This window comes from Homo sapiens, chromosome 20 (assembly GCF_000001405.40).
Source record: "Homo sapiens chromosome 20, GRCh38.p14 Primary Assembly".
Lineage (NCBI taxonomy): Eukaryota > Metazoa > Chordata > Mammalia > Primates > Hominidae > Homo > Homo sapiens.
This window is the reverse complement of record NC_000020.11, coordinates 53,057,660-53,075,459: the sequence shown is the minus strand read 5'-3', so window position 1 is coordinate 53,075,459 and position 17,800 is coordinate 53,057,660. Positions and strand designations below refer to the sequence as shown.

The 17,800-nt window shown below is 40.0% G+C and overlaps 1 protein-coding gene across 9 annotated transcripts in view, besides 2 other annotated features; it reads right to left on the bottom strand.

Moving 5' to 3' along the window:
- The window catches only part of TSHZ2 (teashirt zinc finger homeobox 2), a 522,973-nt gene that overhangs the window by 419,871 nt on the left and 85,302 nt on the right, over window positions 1–17,800 (bottom strand). The gene's annotated exons all lie outside the window — the stretch shown is intronic.
- Window positions 7,972–8,473: an enhancer, noted in NCBI's record as "NANOG hESC enhancer chr20:51683526-51684027 (GRCh37/hg19 assembly coordinates)". NCBI's record gives its function as "activates a minimal SCP1, AML or CMV promoter by ChIP-STARR-seq in naive H9 embryonic stem cells {active_cell/tissue: H9 hESC(naive)}" and the evidence as "EXISTENCE:reporter gene assay evidence [ECO:0000049][PMID:30033119]".
- Window positions 9,110–10,309: an enhancer, noted in NCBI's record as "BRD4-independent group 4 enhancer chr20:51681690-51682889 (GRCh37/hg19 assembly coordinates)". NCBI's record gives its function as "activates an origin of replication core promoter dependent on BRD2, P300/CBP, MED14 and CDK7 cofactors, and independent of BRD4, by STARR-seq in HCT116 cells {active_cell/tissue: HCT116}" and the evidence as "EXISTENCE:reporter gene assay evidence [ECO:0000049][PMID:35650434]".

The window sequence follows — 17,800 nt, the reverse complement described above, 5'->3', positions numbered from 1 at the left end:
AATCCCCTTCGTGTCCCTATTTTCCTACTACCATTCCAGTAGAGTCACTTATGTGCTCAAAAACAGTAAGCATTTTAATGATGAAAATATCTGTTGAATGAAAAACCCAAGATCTTTCTTAATCCCATTGCACAGGCTATTAAAATGGTAAAAAGAAAGATCCTTTGCACAGAGCAGTCCATGAGCTTCACAGCAAAGAAGGCAATAATGAAAAAGTCTGAGACTACCTGTCTCTTTTTTATTTATTTGCATTACTCAGTAGATTCCAATCTTACTCATTATAACAGCCCAGGGCCCTTTAGGCCAAGCACGTCACAATGATCTATCGTTGGGATAGAAATCTTTTGGTGATGACAGCCAGGATTGACAGGGATGTTTAAATCCTCAACTATGCTTTGGATGACATTCAATTTTTTGTCATGAAATTTCAAAATGTGACTGGAGCACTTTCAAAGCTTTCCACATGGAGGAAACGTCAGCGACAAAAGAGGACATAAAACATCTGTGGTTGAGTGGGAAAAACACTGACCTGCAAGGTCAAATACCTTGGGAGGGTTGGGGTTCTTTCTGATGAGCTGGATGACTTCAAGTAAGTCATTTGCTTCTCTAAGCCTCAATTGCTTCATCTGTTAAATGGGACTAACAATACATATCTCTGTTGAAAAACGAGTAATACACATGCTAGTTCCTTCAGCACCTTCCCTGGCACAGAGTAGATGTGCCTGAATTTTTCTTTAAAATTCAGACTATAATTAGTATCTATAGTTAAAAATAATTAGTATCTATAGTTTCCAAGTAGCCTTTTCTTAATCTGAATAGTCCTTTATTATGAGTCCCTGAAACTCAGACATAGCAATCACTATTTTCTTTCCTTTCTTCATTGTTTTGCAAGTTTTGTCCAGCTGTTTAGTCTGTGTATACTTGAACTTTCCAACAATCATAAGCTTTAAAAAAATCTGGTTTGCCTTTACCTTTTACACATTTGTTGGATTTCTACACTTCGTACTGCATCCATCTCATTCTGACTTGTATTCTGGCCAGCCCACTTCCTGGTGAGCAATTGAGGCACTGTAAGAACACAAAGACCCATGAATCCTGGTCCTAGCCCTCTGGAAACTCAAAATCCAGTAGAAAGGACTGATACTTAGGACATAATTTCAGCAATGTGGTAACTTCTATTTCCAAGTACAATACAGGGTATTGTGAGAAGAAAGTGAAACATTTAACTTCTTACTCAAAGGAAGAATCCTCTAACTTCACAAGGGAGTGGTCAAGGAGGGCTCCATTGAGAAGGCGACATTTGAACAGCAGTTTAAAAGATACATAAGAGTTCACCAAGGATGTCATGAAGGTGAGAGACAGTTGTATGTACATGTCTTTTACAATGCTAGAATTGCGAAGTCAGTTTTTTAGTTTCTTTTCACTGCAGCCAGACTGAAGATCCTTGAAATTTGAAATTAGAAAGTGTGGAAGCACCTCACACATCACCAGGCATCCCAAAGTATGTAGCAAAATCCTGCCCCCAAGAAATCCTGAAACAAATCTGTATAATTAATAGTGTCTACTTTTAGCTAATGTATAGTATAAGTAACAAACACTGAGGTCAGTGGAAAACTATAATTAAACATGCATGTCTCAAAGTTAAAAATGTACATCAATCAACCCAGGCCTAAAACTGAAAATAGACCAGTTTTTTTTTTTAACTTGACGGAATGGAGTTAATAAAAGATGAGAACCACTCTTTTCAACTATCAAAACAGTGTTCCTGGACTGTTGAAAAGCATCCATTAGCTCATCCCGTATCATCCCCTTCCTTTTAAAAAATAATAATTTCATTGTTAAAATGACTCATACTTACTGTATTTAAGTAATAGAGAAAATTATAAAGAAGAAAGTTTTAAAATCATTCAGTAGCCCAGCATCTAGAAATTACTCTAACCTTCAGTTAATTATATTTCAGATGTGTCTCTATCCATATGTGTAAATGGAAGAATAGAGAAATGGATGAATGGATGGATGGATGGAGGGATAGATGAATGAAGGAATGGAGGGATGGATGAATGGATTAAATGATGAATGGATGGAGGGAGGGAGGGAGGGACAGATGAAGGAATGGAGGGATGGATGAATGGATTAAGGGATGGATGGATGGATGGATGGATGAAGGGATGGATGGATGAATGGAGGGATGGATGGATGGAAGGATAGATGAAGGAAGGAATGGAGGGACAGATGAATGGATTAAGGGATAAATGGATGGAGGGAGGGATGGATGGAGGGATAGATGGATGAAGGAATGGAGGGATGGATGAATGGATTAAGGGATGGATGGAGGAATGGATGAATGGAGGGATGGATGGAAGGAGGGATAGATGAATAAAGGAATGGAGGGATGGATGAATGGATTAAGGAGGAATGGATGGAGGAAGGGATGGATGGAGGGAGGGATGGATGGAGGGAGGGATGGATGAAGGGAGGGATGGATGGAGGGATAGATGGATGAAGGAACGGAGGGATGGATGAATGGATTAAGGGATGAATGGATGGATGAAGGAATGGAGGATTGAATGAATGGATTGATGGATGGATGGGCAGAAGTATATGCCTTTATTGTTTTCAAGGCTAATGGTTGATCCCATTCTAGTGAATTTACCTGCCTCGACCCCCCAGTAAACAGTAAGGAAATGTCCAGTCTCACAGACTCTATTCCCATACTTTCTAGGTTCCAAAAATGGACTTCTCAGAGGAGTCTTGGAAAACCTTCTAGGGATGGTGTCAAAACACCCAAATGAGAAGGAGAAAATGAAGCCAAATCAGTTATTTTTAATCATATTAATTAAAATCTATAAGTAGTTTATCAATTTTATGGGCTCTTACAAATAGAATGGAAACAAGACATTATTTAGATTCACCCCTTTCATGTTGCAATGAGGAATGAGGAGACTAGGAAGGACAATTTTATTTTCCAAGCTTACAAATGAAAAGGGACAGAAGCAGGGCTGCAGAGCAGCTGTGAGCATTCAGTCAATGAATATTTTTATTATTTCTAAGAGAGAAACATAGTAGGACCCCTTTCCCCCAAGTGGTAATTGATATTGCTGGATTATTATGATTTTGTGGTATACCCTGAAGATACTCTTTGCACTTGTATTTGTATACCATGTTGCCTTAAAGAAGCCAAAAACATGGGATGCATCCCTTTAAAAAAAGTCCTTAATGTCATAGAAACAAAAGAATTTCCCAAACTACTTCTGCTCCAACCCAGCTTAGCATCCCCGATGCTTTTCTGTTTGGATTTGTTGGTTAGGAAAACAAACCCCAGCTACTACAGCATAGCACAGAATATTCCACCGGGGTTCCCCAGCCTCCGCGCGACTGACATTTGGGGCCAGGTGATTCTCTGCTGTGGGGCTGCCCTGTGCATTACGGGATGTTTAGCAGCATCTCTGGTCTCTACCCCACAAGCTGACAGTAAAAGCTCCCATCTGTTTTGACAACCAAAAATGACTCTGCAAATTGCAAAATGCCGGCCTGGGTTGGGGAGCTGGGGCAGTACAGGATCATTCCTGGTTGAGACAACGACAATCCAAAGCCCTCAGTGTCTCCAATAAAACAAGCAAAAGAGATTTTTATAGACAGATACACACAGTACTACTCTCCAGGGGTATTCAGGGGACATGACTTCACGGACGTCCCTGGATGCAGGGGAGAGGAAAAAGATCTTGGATAAGCAATAAAACCCATGTCACCTGTGATGGGTCACAGAAGTCAGCTCTGGGTTCTCCCGACCCACAGCTTTAAGAACTACAAGCAAGAACACGTAGGTCCGTGAGATAGACCCTTCCCCCAAAATTGGCCTGGCTTTTTAAGCCATAGTAAATAGAAAAGAAGAGGACAGAGACTTTGCAATCCTTTATCTTCATCAGACCCATGAACAGGAAAGAAGGAGGAAGAAAAATGACTGCTTTGACTCTTTGGGTAACTTAAAACGTCAGTGTGTTGCCAATTATGGCAGCTGTAGTTGCTTTATCTTTTGGGGACACTAGCAGCTCATGAAATGTGAATTTTAATTTAGCAGTCGGAGTTCAGATGGCTGGTTCAACAATGTTTAGAAGCTCCTGAAAGATAGTCACTAATTAATGAACATTAAGCCCTAGTTTCTAAGACATTTGAAACAAAGCAGGACAATGCTCCCGTCTCTGTATACTTCAGGGACTGATCTAAAGAACTAGAGGGGAGAAAGCTGACAGTGAGCACAGAGGCTCATTCCTCTCTTGAACTCCATGATTCACCAGTTCACCAAATGGGGGGGATATTTTTTAAAGTACAACTTTTATTCTGAGAAAAAATTCTCACTCGAGGAGTCATTTATGTATGTGCTATTTAGTAATATAAATGTGAGTGTTAGCATCTTACTAATCAAATGGAAAATTGTTTCGTTCTAACGGTTTTGAAACTTCCCCATCCCTCAAACAAATAGTACCCATTACTTTAAACACCTCAGTGTCTAGTAATTGTTCAAAAATGTGTCAGACTACCAGTAATTTAAGTCCTGTCAAAAATAAATCTCAGACACTCACTTCTTCCAGTCAGTGACTTGAAGAACACGCCCACATGTCAATTACCGGAAGCTGTAGCAATGTTTCTTTGTTCTGAATTTGTGTAAACAGAAAAAGGCTCTTCCTCAGTAACAACCGTTTTCTGAAACCTATATAAATGTTTATGTGAACCTCTCTGCAACAACACCTAACAGAAACAATAAAAGCCACTACATTGGTAAATACACACACACATACACACACATTCATACACACACACATCACTGTATGTGCCTCTTGGTAATCAATGTTTAAGTGTGAAGGAGTAATGTATTGACTTGTGAATTACTCTTTTCGCAGAGGCCTGACCCCAAAGCATTTACATTTTAAATTGTAAATAAAAATGATCTACATTTTTAGAGGGTCACAGTCACTGGCTCCTTTCCCTATTATCCGAAAGAGATTGCTTCACAGATAATTTCGAAAGCGCAGGTAAATAAATGAGTAGAAAAACTGTGACTATAAAACAGAAATAGTTCACAAAATTGGCAGCTAATTAAGATAGGCTATTAGACAGGGTTTCTCTGTGTAAAATTGTTCTCCATGAGTAAGACTGATAAATCTTGTGGATTCTCTCAGTCCTTACTGTAATGCATATATGGTTATAAATAGCTGTAAATCAAGCTTTAGATGAGGAGTGCTAGTGATTTTCTAAGGTTCACATTTCTTATATAACAGTATTTTTATTGGAAAAGATTGTAATCATTTAATCATAAAATCATGAATACCCTGTAATGTTGTTCTAAGGTCTTTCATGAAGTTTTTCTTGCTAAATAAGATGACTGAATTTCAACAAAAGAAGAAAAGACAAATAATTTTGGTTTACCTGACATTCATTATTCCCTTCTCCCCTCCCTGGCTCAGAGGTGCATACTAAAAAATAAATCTAGCTATAAACAATACATAGATGGATAGTGTAAAGATGTTGGAACGGGACCCTAAGTGGTCCTCTTTCCAGGGGTAAATTAGAATAAGCTGATTTTCATTAAGCAAGAACAGATCAATATTTCATTATTAACATGGTGACAATTGCATGTTAATAAGAAGTCATCTTTTTTTCAAGCATCCAACTGTCAAACCCACTGTATTAATGGCTCCCCTCATCCAGTGGCGTCTCTTTGCTTTTCCTCTCGTTATATGGAAACTTGAGCGTGTGTGTGTGTGTGTGTGTGTGTGTGTGTGTGTGTGTGTGTGTGTGTATCAAAGCATTGACCTTTTGCTAGGCAGGATTAGGGAACACCTCCTAATGTTTCCCTCAGGAAACAAGGGATTTTGTTAACCCGTTTCCCCTTAGGTTTCTCTTCCCCAGAATACTCCCATCAACTTGTTTGTCACTCGGATTTAGATAATGATTCTGTTTTGGTAGATGGTAGTTTTACCGATAAAGTAAAACCTCGATATTTTTTTCTTTCAGGAAGGAAGATAATAGGATAAATCATTAATTAAAGGGGCTGCATACGGGACAGATGGAATTCTAACCATGTGGACACCTCCCCCAACGGTGGAGGGGTAAAAAGCACCATAAATCACTCACGGTCCAGCAGTCTTCAGTAGGGCCCATCTTGCCCCCTACAAGTAATGATAAACAACATATACTTCCAGTGCAGCCCACTGGGTATTCTAAAGTAGGTGAACTATGAGATAACACATTTATCCTTCTTGGGAAGGTATCTCTTCATATTTCACATGGCGCAGAGAAAGCAGACCCAACTGAATGACAACTAATGAGGATTAATGCATTATTCCACAGAGGATTATGGGCTCTTCTCGTTTGTGCAGTGGTTAAATAATAACAAAATCAGATAAAATGGCTCCTGGTGCTTCCCTGAACTGTAAACCTAACACTCGACACAGTTGTTTTTCTTTTCCTTTCCTTTCTCTTCTATTCTACCTTTTTTTTTATTTTAAGAAAAACGGGGTTCTTAGGTGTTCAACTTCTAAATCCAGTTCTCACAGTCATTGCCTCAGTTCTTTATGGAAAAAAAAAACAACAGAAAATCTCTAATAGATTCCTCTGCAAAGCCAAAATTAAGTTGCAGCGTGCTAAAATCCAAAGAGTGCATGAAAAGGACCATTTTTCTTAAGATTAAAAGTCATATGGGTGTCCTATGGGACTTAACCAACCATACTGTAATCTAATTTAGCATTTATGAAATCTTATACTTATTCATTTAATAATTACTTATTAAGCACCTACTCTGGCCAGAGACCCCTTGCTGGGACCTTACACTGGTGTGATTGTTATGACTTAAATAGTCACACAAATACATTCTTGATTGCCAAGTGTGGTCAGTGCCATGGAAGAGCTATAGGAGATGGCAAAGCAACTAGACTCGGTGTGGGGGCTTAAGGCAGATTCTGCCAGAAAAGTAACGCAGTAGGGAATAAGGAGAGGAAGACAATTCAGGAAGAATGCATAGCTTGCAAAAAAATTTCCTAAAGTGGGAAGTGGCACAGCAATTCAAAAAACAGAGAAGTCCAGTGGAGTTTGGAGTATGAAAGTATTATGAGAAGGACAACAACAAAACTTGAAGCCAAAGAGACAAGCAGGACTCGGGATCCATAGACTGGTGTGGGTGATGGTAAAGTGTTGGAATTTACCTGAATAAACCCAGGGTTATGGGTTAAACTGTGTCCCCTGAAAAGAAAAGTTGAAGTTCTAACCCCTGGTACCCGTGAATATGACGTTATTCAGAAGAAGGGTCTTTGCAGGTGTAATCAGCTTAAGATGACGTCTTTAGGATTGGTCCTTGTCCAGTGACTGGTGTTCTTAAAAATCAAAGGAAATTTGGACACAGACACCAAAAGAGGGGATGCCACCTGACAACACGGACGCACAGGGGAAGGGAGCCATGTAACAACAGACACAGAGATTAGAGTGATGTGTCTACAAGCCAAGGATTGCTGGCCACAACCAGAAACTGGAAGAGGCAAGGAAGGGTCCTCCCCAGAGCCTTCAGTGGGAGCAATGCCATGCCAACACCTTTGTTTTTGCACTTCTAGCCTCTGAAGCTCTGAGACAGTACATTTCTGTGATTTTAAGCCACCCAGTTTGTGGCACTTTGTCCCAGCAGCCACTAACACACCCAGAGAACCACAGCAGAACTGCCAGGGAAGGCAGGAGTTTTAAAGGCAAGAAAGTGACCGTATCTATCACGTTTACATTTTCAAAAGATCTATTTGTCTGCAGAATGAACACCACCAAGTTAGAGAGGGTCAGAGATGGAGTGGGAAAGTACTTTAGAAGGCTCTGGAAGCAGCTTGGGAGAACTGTGCATTCTGGGAGTGAGGCGCTGGCATGGACATTTGCTAAATGTATATTTTTGGCACTGATGAGGACTTGGCTGCACTGCCCAGGAGGGCTAGAAAGAGAAAGGTTACTTTTCAGTGACAATTCTCAAATTTGGGCACATGTATTTCTATTCCATACAAAGATGTATTCTGCAGACCCCAACTGGAGCCTGCAAGTGACATTAGAATTATTTTACCATTTCACACATTGAGTTGTTTTTCTCTGAATTATAATTGCTTTTTACATAACAAAAAACCTGCTCAAGAATGACAAAGCATAAAGAGTTACTTCTCACCTCCCTTAAGAATGTGGCAGAATAGGATGTGATGGGGGGCAAGGGGGAGGATCACTTGTTTCAATTACATACCATCAACCATCGAAGAGACAGTCAAAGCTAGAATCACTGGTCCCCTATCACCATAAGACAAACTATTCACGTTGTCATAAACGGACCAAAGCAATTCACTGGTTCTCATCCAACCACATAGATTATGGCAGAATCACGCTCTACTATGCACGCTCAACTCCTTCAGAAATCTACCTTTCTGGGTAATGTTCTAAACATTGTTGGTGGATAATATTTTTGAAATGTGAGGAGCTGGTCCCACTCCTGCAGCGGGACTTTCTGAAGCTGTCTCCTGCACCCCACTCTGTAAAAGACGCAGCCCTTGCCTCAGAAGAGGCATCATAGGGGAGAAAGCTGAACAAGGAGCCTTAGTCTTGGTTTGGGGACTTCATAAGGAGACATCCTAGCATTTAAAAAAATAGCTTCGTGGTGGCTCACGCCTGTAATCCCAACACTTTGGGAGGCCGAGGCGGGCAGATCACGAGCTCAGCAGATTGAGACCATCCTGGCCAACATGGTGAAACCCCGTCTCTACTAAAAATACAAAAATTAGCAGGGTGTTGTGGCGCGTACCTGTTATCCCAGCTACTCAGGAGGCTGAGGCGGGAGAATCACTTGAACCCAGGAGGCGGAGGTTGCAGTGAGCCACTGCACTCCAGCCTGGTGACAGAGCTAGGCTCTGTCTCAGAACAAACAAACAAACAAAGCAACAAACAAAAACAAACAAGAAACAGCTTCAGGAGAGCAAAACGCGATAGCCGGAGGTCCACTTCACCTCCATTTTCTCACCTCCCTTTACGTAGAAGATAAGGCTTCCTGGGTATTGAGAGGAATGTGAAAATTGTGGGGGGTGGGGGGCAGTGAAGGAGAAGCAGTCTTTGCCATTCAGACTCGGAGCGGAGAAGCAGCTCTGTGTCCTGACTTCCACTTGCTACTTGCAGGGCCTCCTTGGCCTCGAGTGGAGTCGGGGGTCGGAGGGAGCATAAACCAACCCTTCCCCTTGAGTTTGGCGATTCAAGAGCAGAAGAGGTCTCTGTTCCAATGCCTTGTAAAGAAACTCCACCTCCCCTAGGCCGCCATTCCTTCTTCCACACGCACCATGACGCAGGAGCAGAAGACTGGAGATGCTTGCGTGCTGCAACTGAGCAAGGGGCCTGAGACGTTTCTAGGAAAGCCCCAGCAGTTCCGGAATAGCCTTCAGTCGGTGAGCAGAAAGGGAGCTGCAGATCCCTGCGGAAGTCAGCGTGGATACAGGTGATAACTGAGAACCACGTATGACCCCCAGATTCTTGGATGTCTGTAAACACCCTGGAACTTAGGCACAATCTCAGGAAGCTGAATTAACCTACATGCCCTAACTTGACAGAGATTACGTTTCTGTCAACCAATGGCAAAGGTGATTATAATAAGAATTTAATTCAGTTGTGAAAAAAATAACAATAGGTTTCTTGCCATTTGGGCTAGAGACCTATATATTCACGTCTGCAGCACAAAGCCACTCTTCATGGTAGTATTTTCTGGGAGGAAGGTAGGGTCCTGTGTATTCCACAGCAAGATTTCCACGCCCCCTTCCAGAGGGAATGCACTTTAAGTGGTATCCCCAGGGGTGGGGACAGGACAAATCCAACCATTTACGATCTGCCTGGGTCCCGACTGTGTTGCTATTCAGCCACATGCCTTGTTCTGCAGATTACATTGGTTTGCAACATCCCTGAAACTGGGGTGCCTTGGGATTTGAATATTATGTTTCATTATTCCGTTTTCACCTTCTACTTGTACAACCTTTCATGCTTTTCCAACCCCTTGTCTTTTTTTTGTTCCTTCTGCAGCTCTTTGAGGTAGGAGGAAAAGATATCATGCTCCCTTTTGACAGATGAATGACTAAAGCACAGAAAGATCTGGTAACATGTCCAAAGTCTCAGAGCATACAAGTAATAATAATCATCTCAACCACGACAACAATAATTTGTAATAATAATAAAATAGTTACTATGTTTTAATTTCTTGCTACTAGTCTGCCAACAGCTCTTCACGCATTATCATACTTAGAGTGTCACCAACTCCTTTAAGTAGGTATTGTGTGTTGCATCATCCTGCAGACGAGGCGAATGAGGCGCAGTGAGGTTAAGTGCATTGACAAAGATCACATAAATGAAGAAGTGTCACAAAGCACAGGTAACTTATGTACCGATTTTCGAATTTAACCCTTAAAGAAGTTGCCATCCACTGTTTCATTTAATCCTCTAAACATCAAATAGGTCTATTAACATGTATTAAAGTCAGAGAGGCTTATTATTATAAGTGAGTAGAGTAAACCCTGAAGGCAAGCAGGAACACTTTAGAAGTCTTACCATCTGCTCCTCACACTGGGGATTTGATAGTATCATATCTTAAAGGCAGGATGAGTCAAAAGTCCAGATATCCACACATAGACTTTCTTTTTGGCCCTTTCATTAGCACAGCAATTATCAAACTTTTGTGGGCATAAAACTGACGAGAAAAGGCTTCACACAATTGTGTGTGTGTGTGTGTGTTTCTCTGTCTACGTCTTTTATTTATTTATTTAAAAAGTTATTTATTTTTTAGAGATGCTGTCTTGCTCTGTTGCCCAGGCTGGAGTGCATGGTGCACTCCATAGCTCACTGCAGGCTTGAACTCCTGCTCTTAAACTCCTGAAATCCTCTTGCCTCAGCCTCCCAAGTAGTGTGTGTGTGTCTTGGCTGATATTAAATTTCTGTCTTCTAATGGCATAGGGGCTCAAACGTTCTTAATTCAGTAACATAAAAAAAATAAAGAAGGCTTAAGCATAGAAGACATAAAATTTCAAAGATAATTCTGACTGTACATGACTTTTGCTTAATGGCCTGGCTTCAGAACCTAGCCCTCACATAAAATGTGGAGCTTACTTAGAAAGTAAGAGGTGTCCGGGTTCTGGCGGCAGGTGTGTGTGACTCCAAGGCCCTTGTTTATTACCATTTGGTCTTCTAAACCAGAGCCAGAGATCTCCTAATGTTTTGGGTCTTTTCCCCATTCGGATCCCATCAAGCACAACATTTAAAAATATGTATATAGATAAGTGGTGGTGTCATAAATACCTGTTGACTATCTTGCTGATTGACCACACTGATTTGATCTTATCTGAAATTTTTATTTTAAATGCCTCAAATAACCCTCAATCTTGCCAGCTGTTAAAAGCCAAGTGCCTGCCATGTAGATATAGTAATTTGCTGCATCGCTATTAAGAAATATAACTTGAGGCTTCCAGTTCTAATACACAGTAGCACAAACAGAATGTCAATTTCCCACCGAGTTCAGATGGGTCTATTTCAGACTACTATTCAATATATGTGCTGTTTGCTAACACTCACCTGTAAATTTGTGTTTATTCTTCCTTCCTTGAGCTCTAAGTGCAATCTATTTTAATTTTTCCCCTTTGCCAAATATTCGGTTGCTGACAAACACACATTCAAATTTCCTTGCATATTCATGCCTGTGATTTTGTGCTCAAGTTGAGTACCTGGGCAAATCAGTTTTGATTTTTGCATATGCATATGCATGCAAGCAAACACACATTTTCTATTCACTTACAATTCACTTAAGAAAAGATGAAAAATATGCTCCAAAATAACACAATGATGTCCACCACTCCTACTTAAGTAATTAGACTATACTGCCAGTTCTCATCTTCTGCAGGGGATGAGTGTGAAAGTAGTAAGTTTATTTACAGTCTGAAATCTACCCTTAAAAATCTTTAAATTGTCCATAATTTATATTATGAATCATTTTATGCATATGTTCCTTTGCATTAATGTTTATTTAAATGCATAATATCTATATAAATGTGCATATGTAATATATAGGCAAAGTAGAATTTTAGAGTATTTTACAGTACTGGAAATGTTTGGTTAAGTGCATATACAGGCATGCTTGGTTTAATGTGCTTCATTTTATTGTGCTTCAGAGGTATTTCAATTTGTAAAAAGCTTGAACTTTTTACAAATTGAAGGTTTGTGGCAAGCCTGCATCCAGTAAGTTTATTAGTACCATTTTTTCCAATAGCACATGCTCACTTCAAGTCTCTGTGCCAGACTTTGGTAATTCTCGCAATATTTCAAACTTTTTCATTATTGTTATATCTATTATGATGATCTGTGATCAGTGCTCTTTGATGTTACTGTTGTAATTGTTTCGGGGGTGCCAAACAAACTGGAAATAGGGAAGCTCTTTCCTCAGCCCTCCTTATTTCCTGAAATTAGGGAAATTGGGCCAATTAATAACCCTGCCATGGCTTCTAAGTATTCAAGTGAAAAGCAGAGGCACACATCTCTCACTTTAAATTAAAGGCTAGAAATGACTAAGCTGAGTTGGGAAGGCCATGTTGAAAGCTGAGACAGGCTGAAAGCTAGGCCTCTTGTGCCAACCAGGTAGCCAAGTTGTGAATGCCAACAAAGAGTTTTTGAATAAAATAAAAAGTTCTACTCTACTGAACACACAAATGATAGGAAAGTGAACCAGCCTTATTGCTGATATGGAGTACGTTTTAGTGGTCTGGATAGAAGATCAAACCAGCCACAACATTCCCTTAAGCCAAAGCCTAATCCAGAGCAAGGCCCTAACTCTCTTCAATTCTGTGAAGGCTGAGGGAGATGAGGAAGCTGCAGAGGAAAAGTTGAAAGGTAACAGAGGTTGGTTTATGAAGTTCAAGAAACACTAACACTTGTAAACACTAACACTTGTAAACACTTAAATGTGGTATATGTTGTAACTCACCAATATTCTGAAATTACATTGTCACAACTATTAGGATGGTTATACCTACTTTTATAATTTCCTTTCTGAATTTGCACTGCCTCAGAATTTTCTCTAGCTTACTGTTTTGTGCTCGAAAACCTCCCATATGACCGTTTATAGTTAATATCTCTTATATTTATACTGCACTTTACAATTTGCCAAGCAGTTTCCTGGTGATTGTCTTATTTTATCCTCATAATAGCCCTGTAGGGAAGGCACAATTAATTTCCATTTTACAGATGAGATGACAAAATCAGAGAGGTTAACTGGTGATGTGGCTTAGTTGAGATTAAAAACAGCTTTTAAGAGTTGAAGTTCCCACTCTTGTACCACAGCTGCTTCCTGGTAAGGTATAAAAACACATCTCTTCATAGAGATTTCTTGGAAGATATATGGCCTACTTTTTTTAAAGAAAGCCTTGCTAATTCTTGCTTAAGTGTTTTAACTTCAGCCCAGACTTACTTATTTACATAGGGAAGAAAAAATGATGCAATCTATAATTGGGAAAATGATATCAGAAAAGCTTGGGAATTAAACTTGAAGATTGTTAACCTTTATTTCAAGTGGGCCATGTCTCTGAGATTTGAGGTGGTTGGGTGAAGCACATTCGTTGATTTTAAAATGGAATTTGAGTTTAAATCATACATAAAAAACATGTCTCTTTCTAGTGCCAAATCCAAAGAATCAAGCCATTTGGATAACATCTCACTAAGAAGCCTGGAGTCTTTCTGGAACCTTGCTGGATGATGTTTTAAGTTGAGTTCACAAAAACAGAATAGGAAAAATAGATACAACCTGTCAGTAAAAGAAAGTTCCAAGACTGGTGACACATTAACATGAATAGTTGAGAAAGCTAGTTCAGCTCAACAACTCTACACAGGAAATCTCCCAGCATCTTCATAACCTGCTGCCTGGATTCACCACTGGGCAGATTAGAGAAGTCCAGACTAGATGTGCAATGTTGTTTTCATAATCTTATATCTTTTCCTTTTCATCTCTTATGATCCTCTGTTAGAATGACTCAGGGTGTCTTTTGACAAGCTACTGGGCAGAAGTTCAAATGCATTTGGGTTTAGCTCAGTGAATATATGTTGAGCCCCTACAATGGACTCTCTCTGACGCATGTGCTGGTGATCTGTGCATTGCTGATTCTTATTGAAAGAGGTGGTAGAATTCCTCTATGTGCTTAAAAGGAGAGTAAAGATTGAAATTCTCCAACCTTACCTCTATTTTCTTGTCATTTCTGGCGTTCAAAATATCTGAAGCTTCAAAAAACGTTCAGGGTTGCATTCAGTCATTCATTGATTAATTCATTCACAAATGTTCTTTGGGGTTCAACAGTGTCAATTTTGTACTTAGAACCAAGAAAGGAACCTTTAGTAAGATCTTGTACCTACCGGTAAGGTACTTATCATTGAATTGACAGACAGATAAGAAAACAATGAAGCAATATGTAATAAGTATGATAATGGATAGGAATATAGAATGACTAAGGAAATGAAACACCACCACCCAACCTAGACTGTGAAAACCAGGAAAAGGATTCATTGAGGAAGAGAGGCCTGCCCTGACTTCTGAGTGCTGCCAGGATATGGTGAAAAATCTGGCTGTTGATATCCACGGTTTTGATGGGGTTTTATTACTTTTAAAGGATACTGTTGTGTAGAAGGATATTTTAATATTTTTACTCACTTTTATGAAAAAACACTTTTAAACACTCTTCCTTCTATTCAGGATATTATTTAGTTAACCCATTTTTACTACGTAAGTATAATTTTGAGTTTTCTGAAGATGGAAGACAAATTGCTAAGCTCCATGCTTAAGCTCCAACTTTACATTTCTGTTTCTGAGTGATGGAAATTCTATCCAGTTTCAGCTATCTAACTTAGCATAACTTATTCTGTCAATACTTGTGTCCTGCCTAGCACCGTGTAGAAAACCAGTTTCATTAGGGAGGCAGGGAAATTGGGAAGACTCAACTTTTTAAGGAAATAACTTTGGATAATAGTTTGGATAGAATAAGCAACTATGGGGTTGTTTTAGGTATTAGTAGTGAAGTGTTTTTTATGTGAGTAGCAGGGAAACAGCTCCTGAGAAATCAGAGTTATTTGCCATAGACCTTTGCCATTTGTTGGAGATACATTCTACAGCCCTCAAAATCCCCTAAATTTATGAATCTACCAAAGCATATCTTTTCCTTCATAAAATTCAGTGAGGTAGATCTGAAAAATTTTGACTTCTTTAGTTTCTTAATGGCCGTATAAATGTAGAATCAAAAGTCATTTGTAAAAAGTGACCTGTTTTGTGTGTACTGCTTTACAACTACACTGGCAGGCAGAGACAATGTAGCCCAAGAGAGAAGCCGCAAATCTACATTTCGACATAGCTCTGGGCAGCTCACTAGTAAAATTACACACTTTTACATATAAATGCCACCCTGCACAATACAAACCCTCGGCCTTTGGCTGCCTCCTTGATAGACAAAACCATAATGCTACATCTGCAAATGTCATGAAGCTAGGGTATTTTTAAATCACTAATAGGCAAAACAAAAAATTTTGAACGACTGGGTATTCCAAAGGGATGAAGTGTTAGTGTTAAATTCTGGCAAATCTTCCTGAGTAAGAAGAAAGACAGTCGCTTTAGTTCTTCTTCTTAAGCATACATAAACAGAAAAAAGGACAACATTTCAAAGTCAATAGGAACGTGAAACAAAATAAGTGAGATAGAATTCTTCATTGTCCTCAAAATAAATCTCAAAGCTGTAGGAGGGTCTTTAACCAATTAATAACCTCTTACTAATCACACTAAAACATTTTCATTACATTATCCCTAAAACTGGATATGAATTCAGGAGAAATGGCAGCTCATGTCCTAGTCACAAACCATCACTGGTATATTTTGTCATCTGTAAGACTCTGTTATCGATACAGATTTTCATTTTTGTAAATCATCTTTCATTTGGGGAGGGACGGGGGTATTTATTTTTTCCTAGTCTTTTCTCGGAATGTTAACCTTGTTTAAGTTTTTCATTTCCTCTGCCCAAAGCACCATGTTGCAATAGAACTAAATGCATAGTAAAATGGCCATGTGAGAAAGGTTTATGCATTATGTTAAAACCTGCTCCCTTGATAAATGGAGTCATTAGGGTCTGGAATTCACTGTGTTCATCTACTTAGCTCAATCCAACAACATGCCTTAAAAGTCTCACTAATTTGTTCAAATGCTAATGAGCTGCACTACCAAACCTCATCTGTTGCAGAAGGATCTAATATTTTAGGAGTTTAATACATTTAAGAGTTATCCATGGACTCATTTTACCTGGCTTGGCAATTCAAGACTACTCACATTTACAGACAGGGAAAAAATGTTTAGTACATTTCCTTGTGTGGCAGCTTCTGAAAATACACTCAATGAGACTTAATAAAAATCACTAGCATGAGTTTATCGTCATCTTCTGTCAGGATAGGATGTGGAGAAAATGTCCACCAAAAGGTTTTGTATACAGATTTAAATGCATGTATATATTTCAAACAAACGAAATATATGTATTAATACCCAAGTCATCTCCAAGACAAAAGGCAGCCAGACTGGTCATGTTTCCCCAGGCCAGACCTGGATCTCTGCATCTGTCCTGAGCTTCTAGAAAGGGAAAATGACAAAGTAACTGCTTTCTTACAGACATTTGCCACCTGGTCAGGCCTATTTCCAAGAAAAGCAAAATAAACTAAAGAAACTCAGCCTTGTTCCACAAACCTTGGTTGAGCATCTGCTATGTACTTGGGGCTTTAGTCCATGGTGCTTTTTTTCTCCTACTGTCTTTTGAATGACACTGGCCCCACTTTTAGAACAACTAACGGGGTCAGCTTCATGGGTGTGTGGCCCGTGCTGTCAGACAGGGCCCCATGCTCAGAAGGGCCCATACATGGTTTAATGCCCTGCTGTTGCTGTCTTGAAATTCTGCAAGGGGCCCTGCCTTTTCATTTTGCATCAGGCCTCACAAACTGTAGCCTGTTATGATTGTGACTTCAGGTGAATTAGTTTGTTGACTAGGTAGATTTATCAAGGCTAACTTGGGGGAAATTGGCTGTGTTTTGACAGGCAGAATTCAAGTTGGATCCTTCCACTTTGCATTGTTTGAGGCCATCAAAGACAGAGGTCCCCAACTCTGGGGCTACAGACCCATACCAGTACGAGACTGTGGCCTGTTAGGAACCAGGCCACACAGCAGGTGGTGAGCGGTGGGCCAGAGAGTCTTATGGCCCGAGCTGAGCCTCCTGTCAGATCTGCAGTGACATTGGATTCTCTCAAGGGCCTAAACCCTATTGTGAACTGCACGTGTGAGGGATCTACGTTGTGCGATCCTCATGAGACTCTAACTTATGCTTGATCTGAGGTGGAACAGTTTCATCCTGAAATCATCCCCCTACCTCCAGTCCTAGAAAAATCGTCCTCCATGAAACTGGTTCCCGGAGCCCAAAAGGTTGGGGACCACCGATCTAAGACATTACTTCCTCCAGGGAGGGGACCTCCATGCCCTTTCCTGACCCCATTTCTGTCCATGTCCTCAAATCTTATTTAGCTTCTGCCCATCCTTCACAATGGACTTTCTCACAGTTTTCTATTACCACGTGCTTACCTGCACCTCACTCCCTGGACTCTGGACTCCCTGAGGACAAGAACCATGCGTGTTCATCACTGTTTCTGTGAGTGTCCAGGGCTGCTAAAGCAGTATGAATACAGTAGGTATTTGGGGCATGGTATATTAGGTAT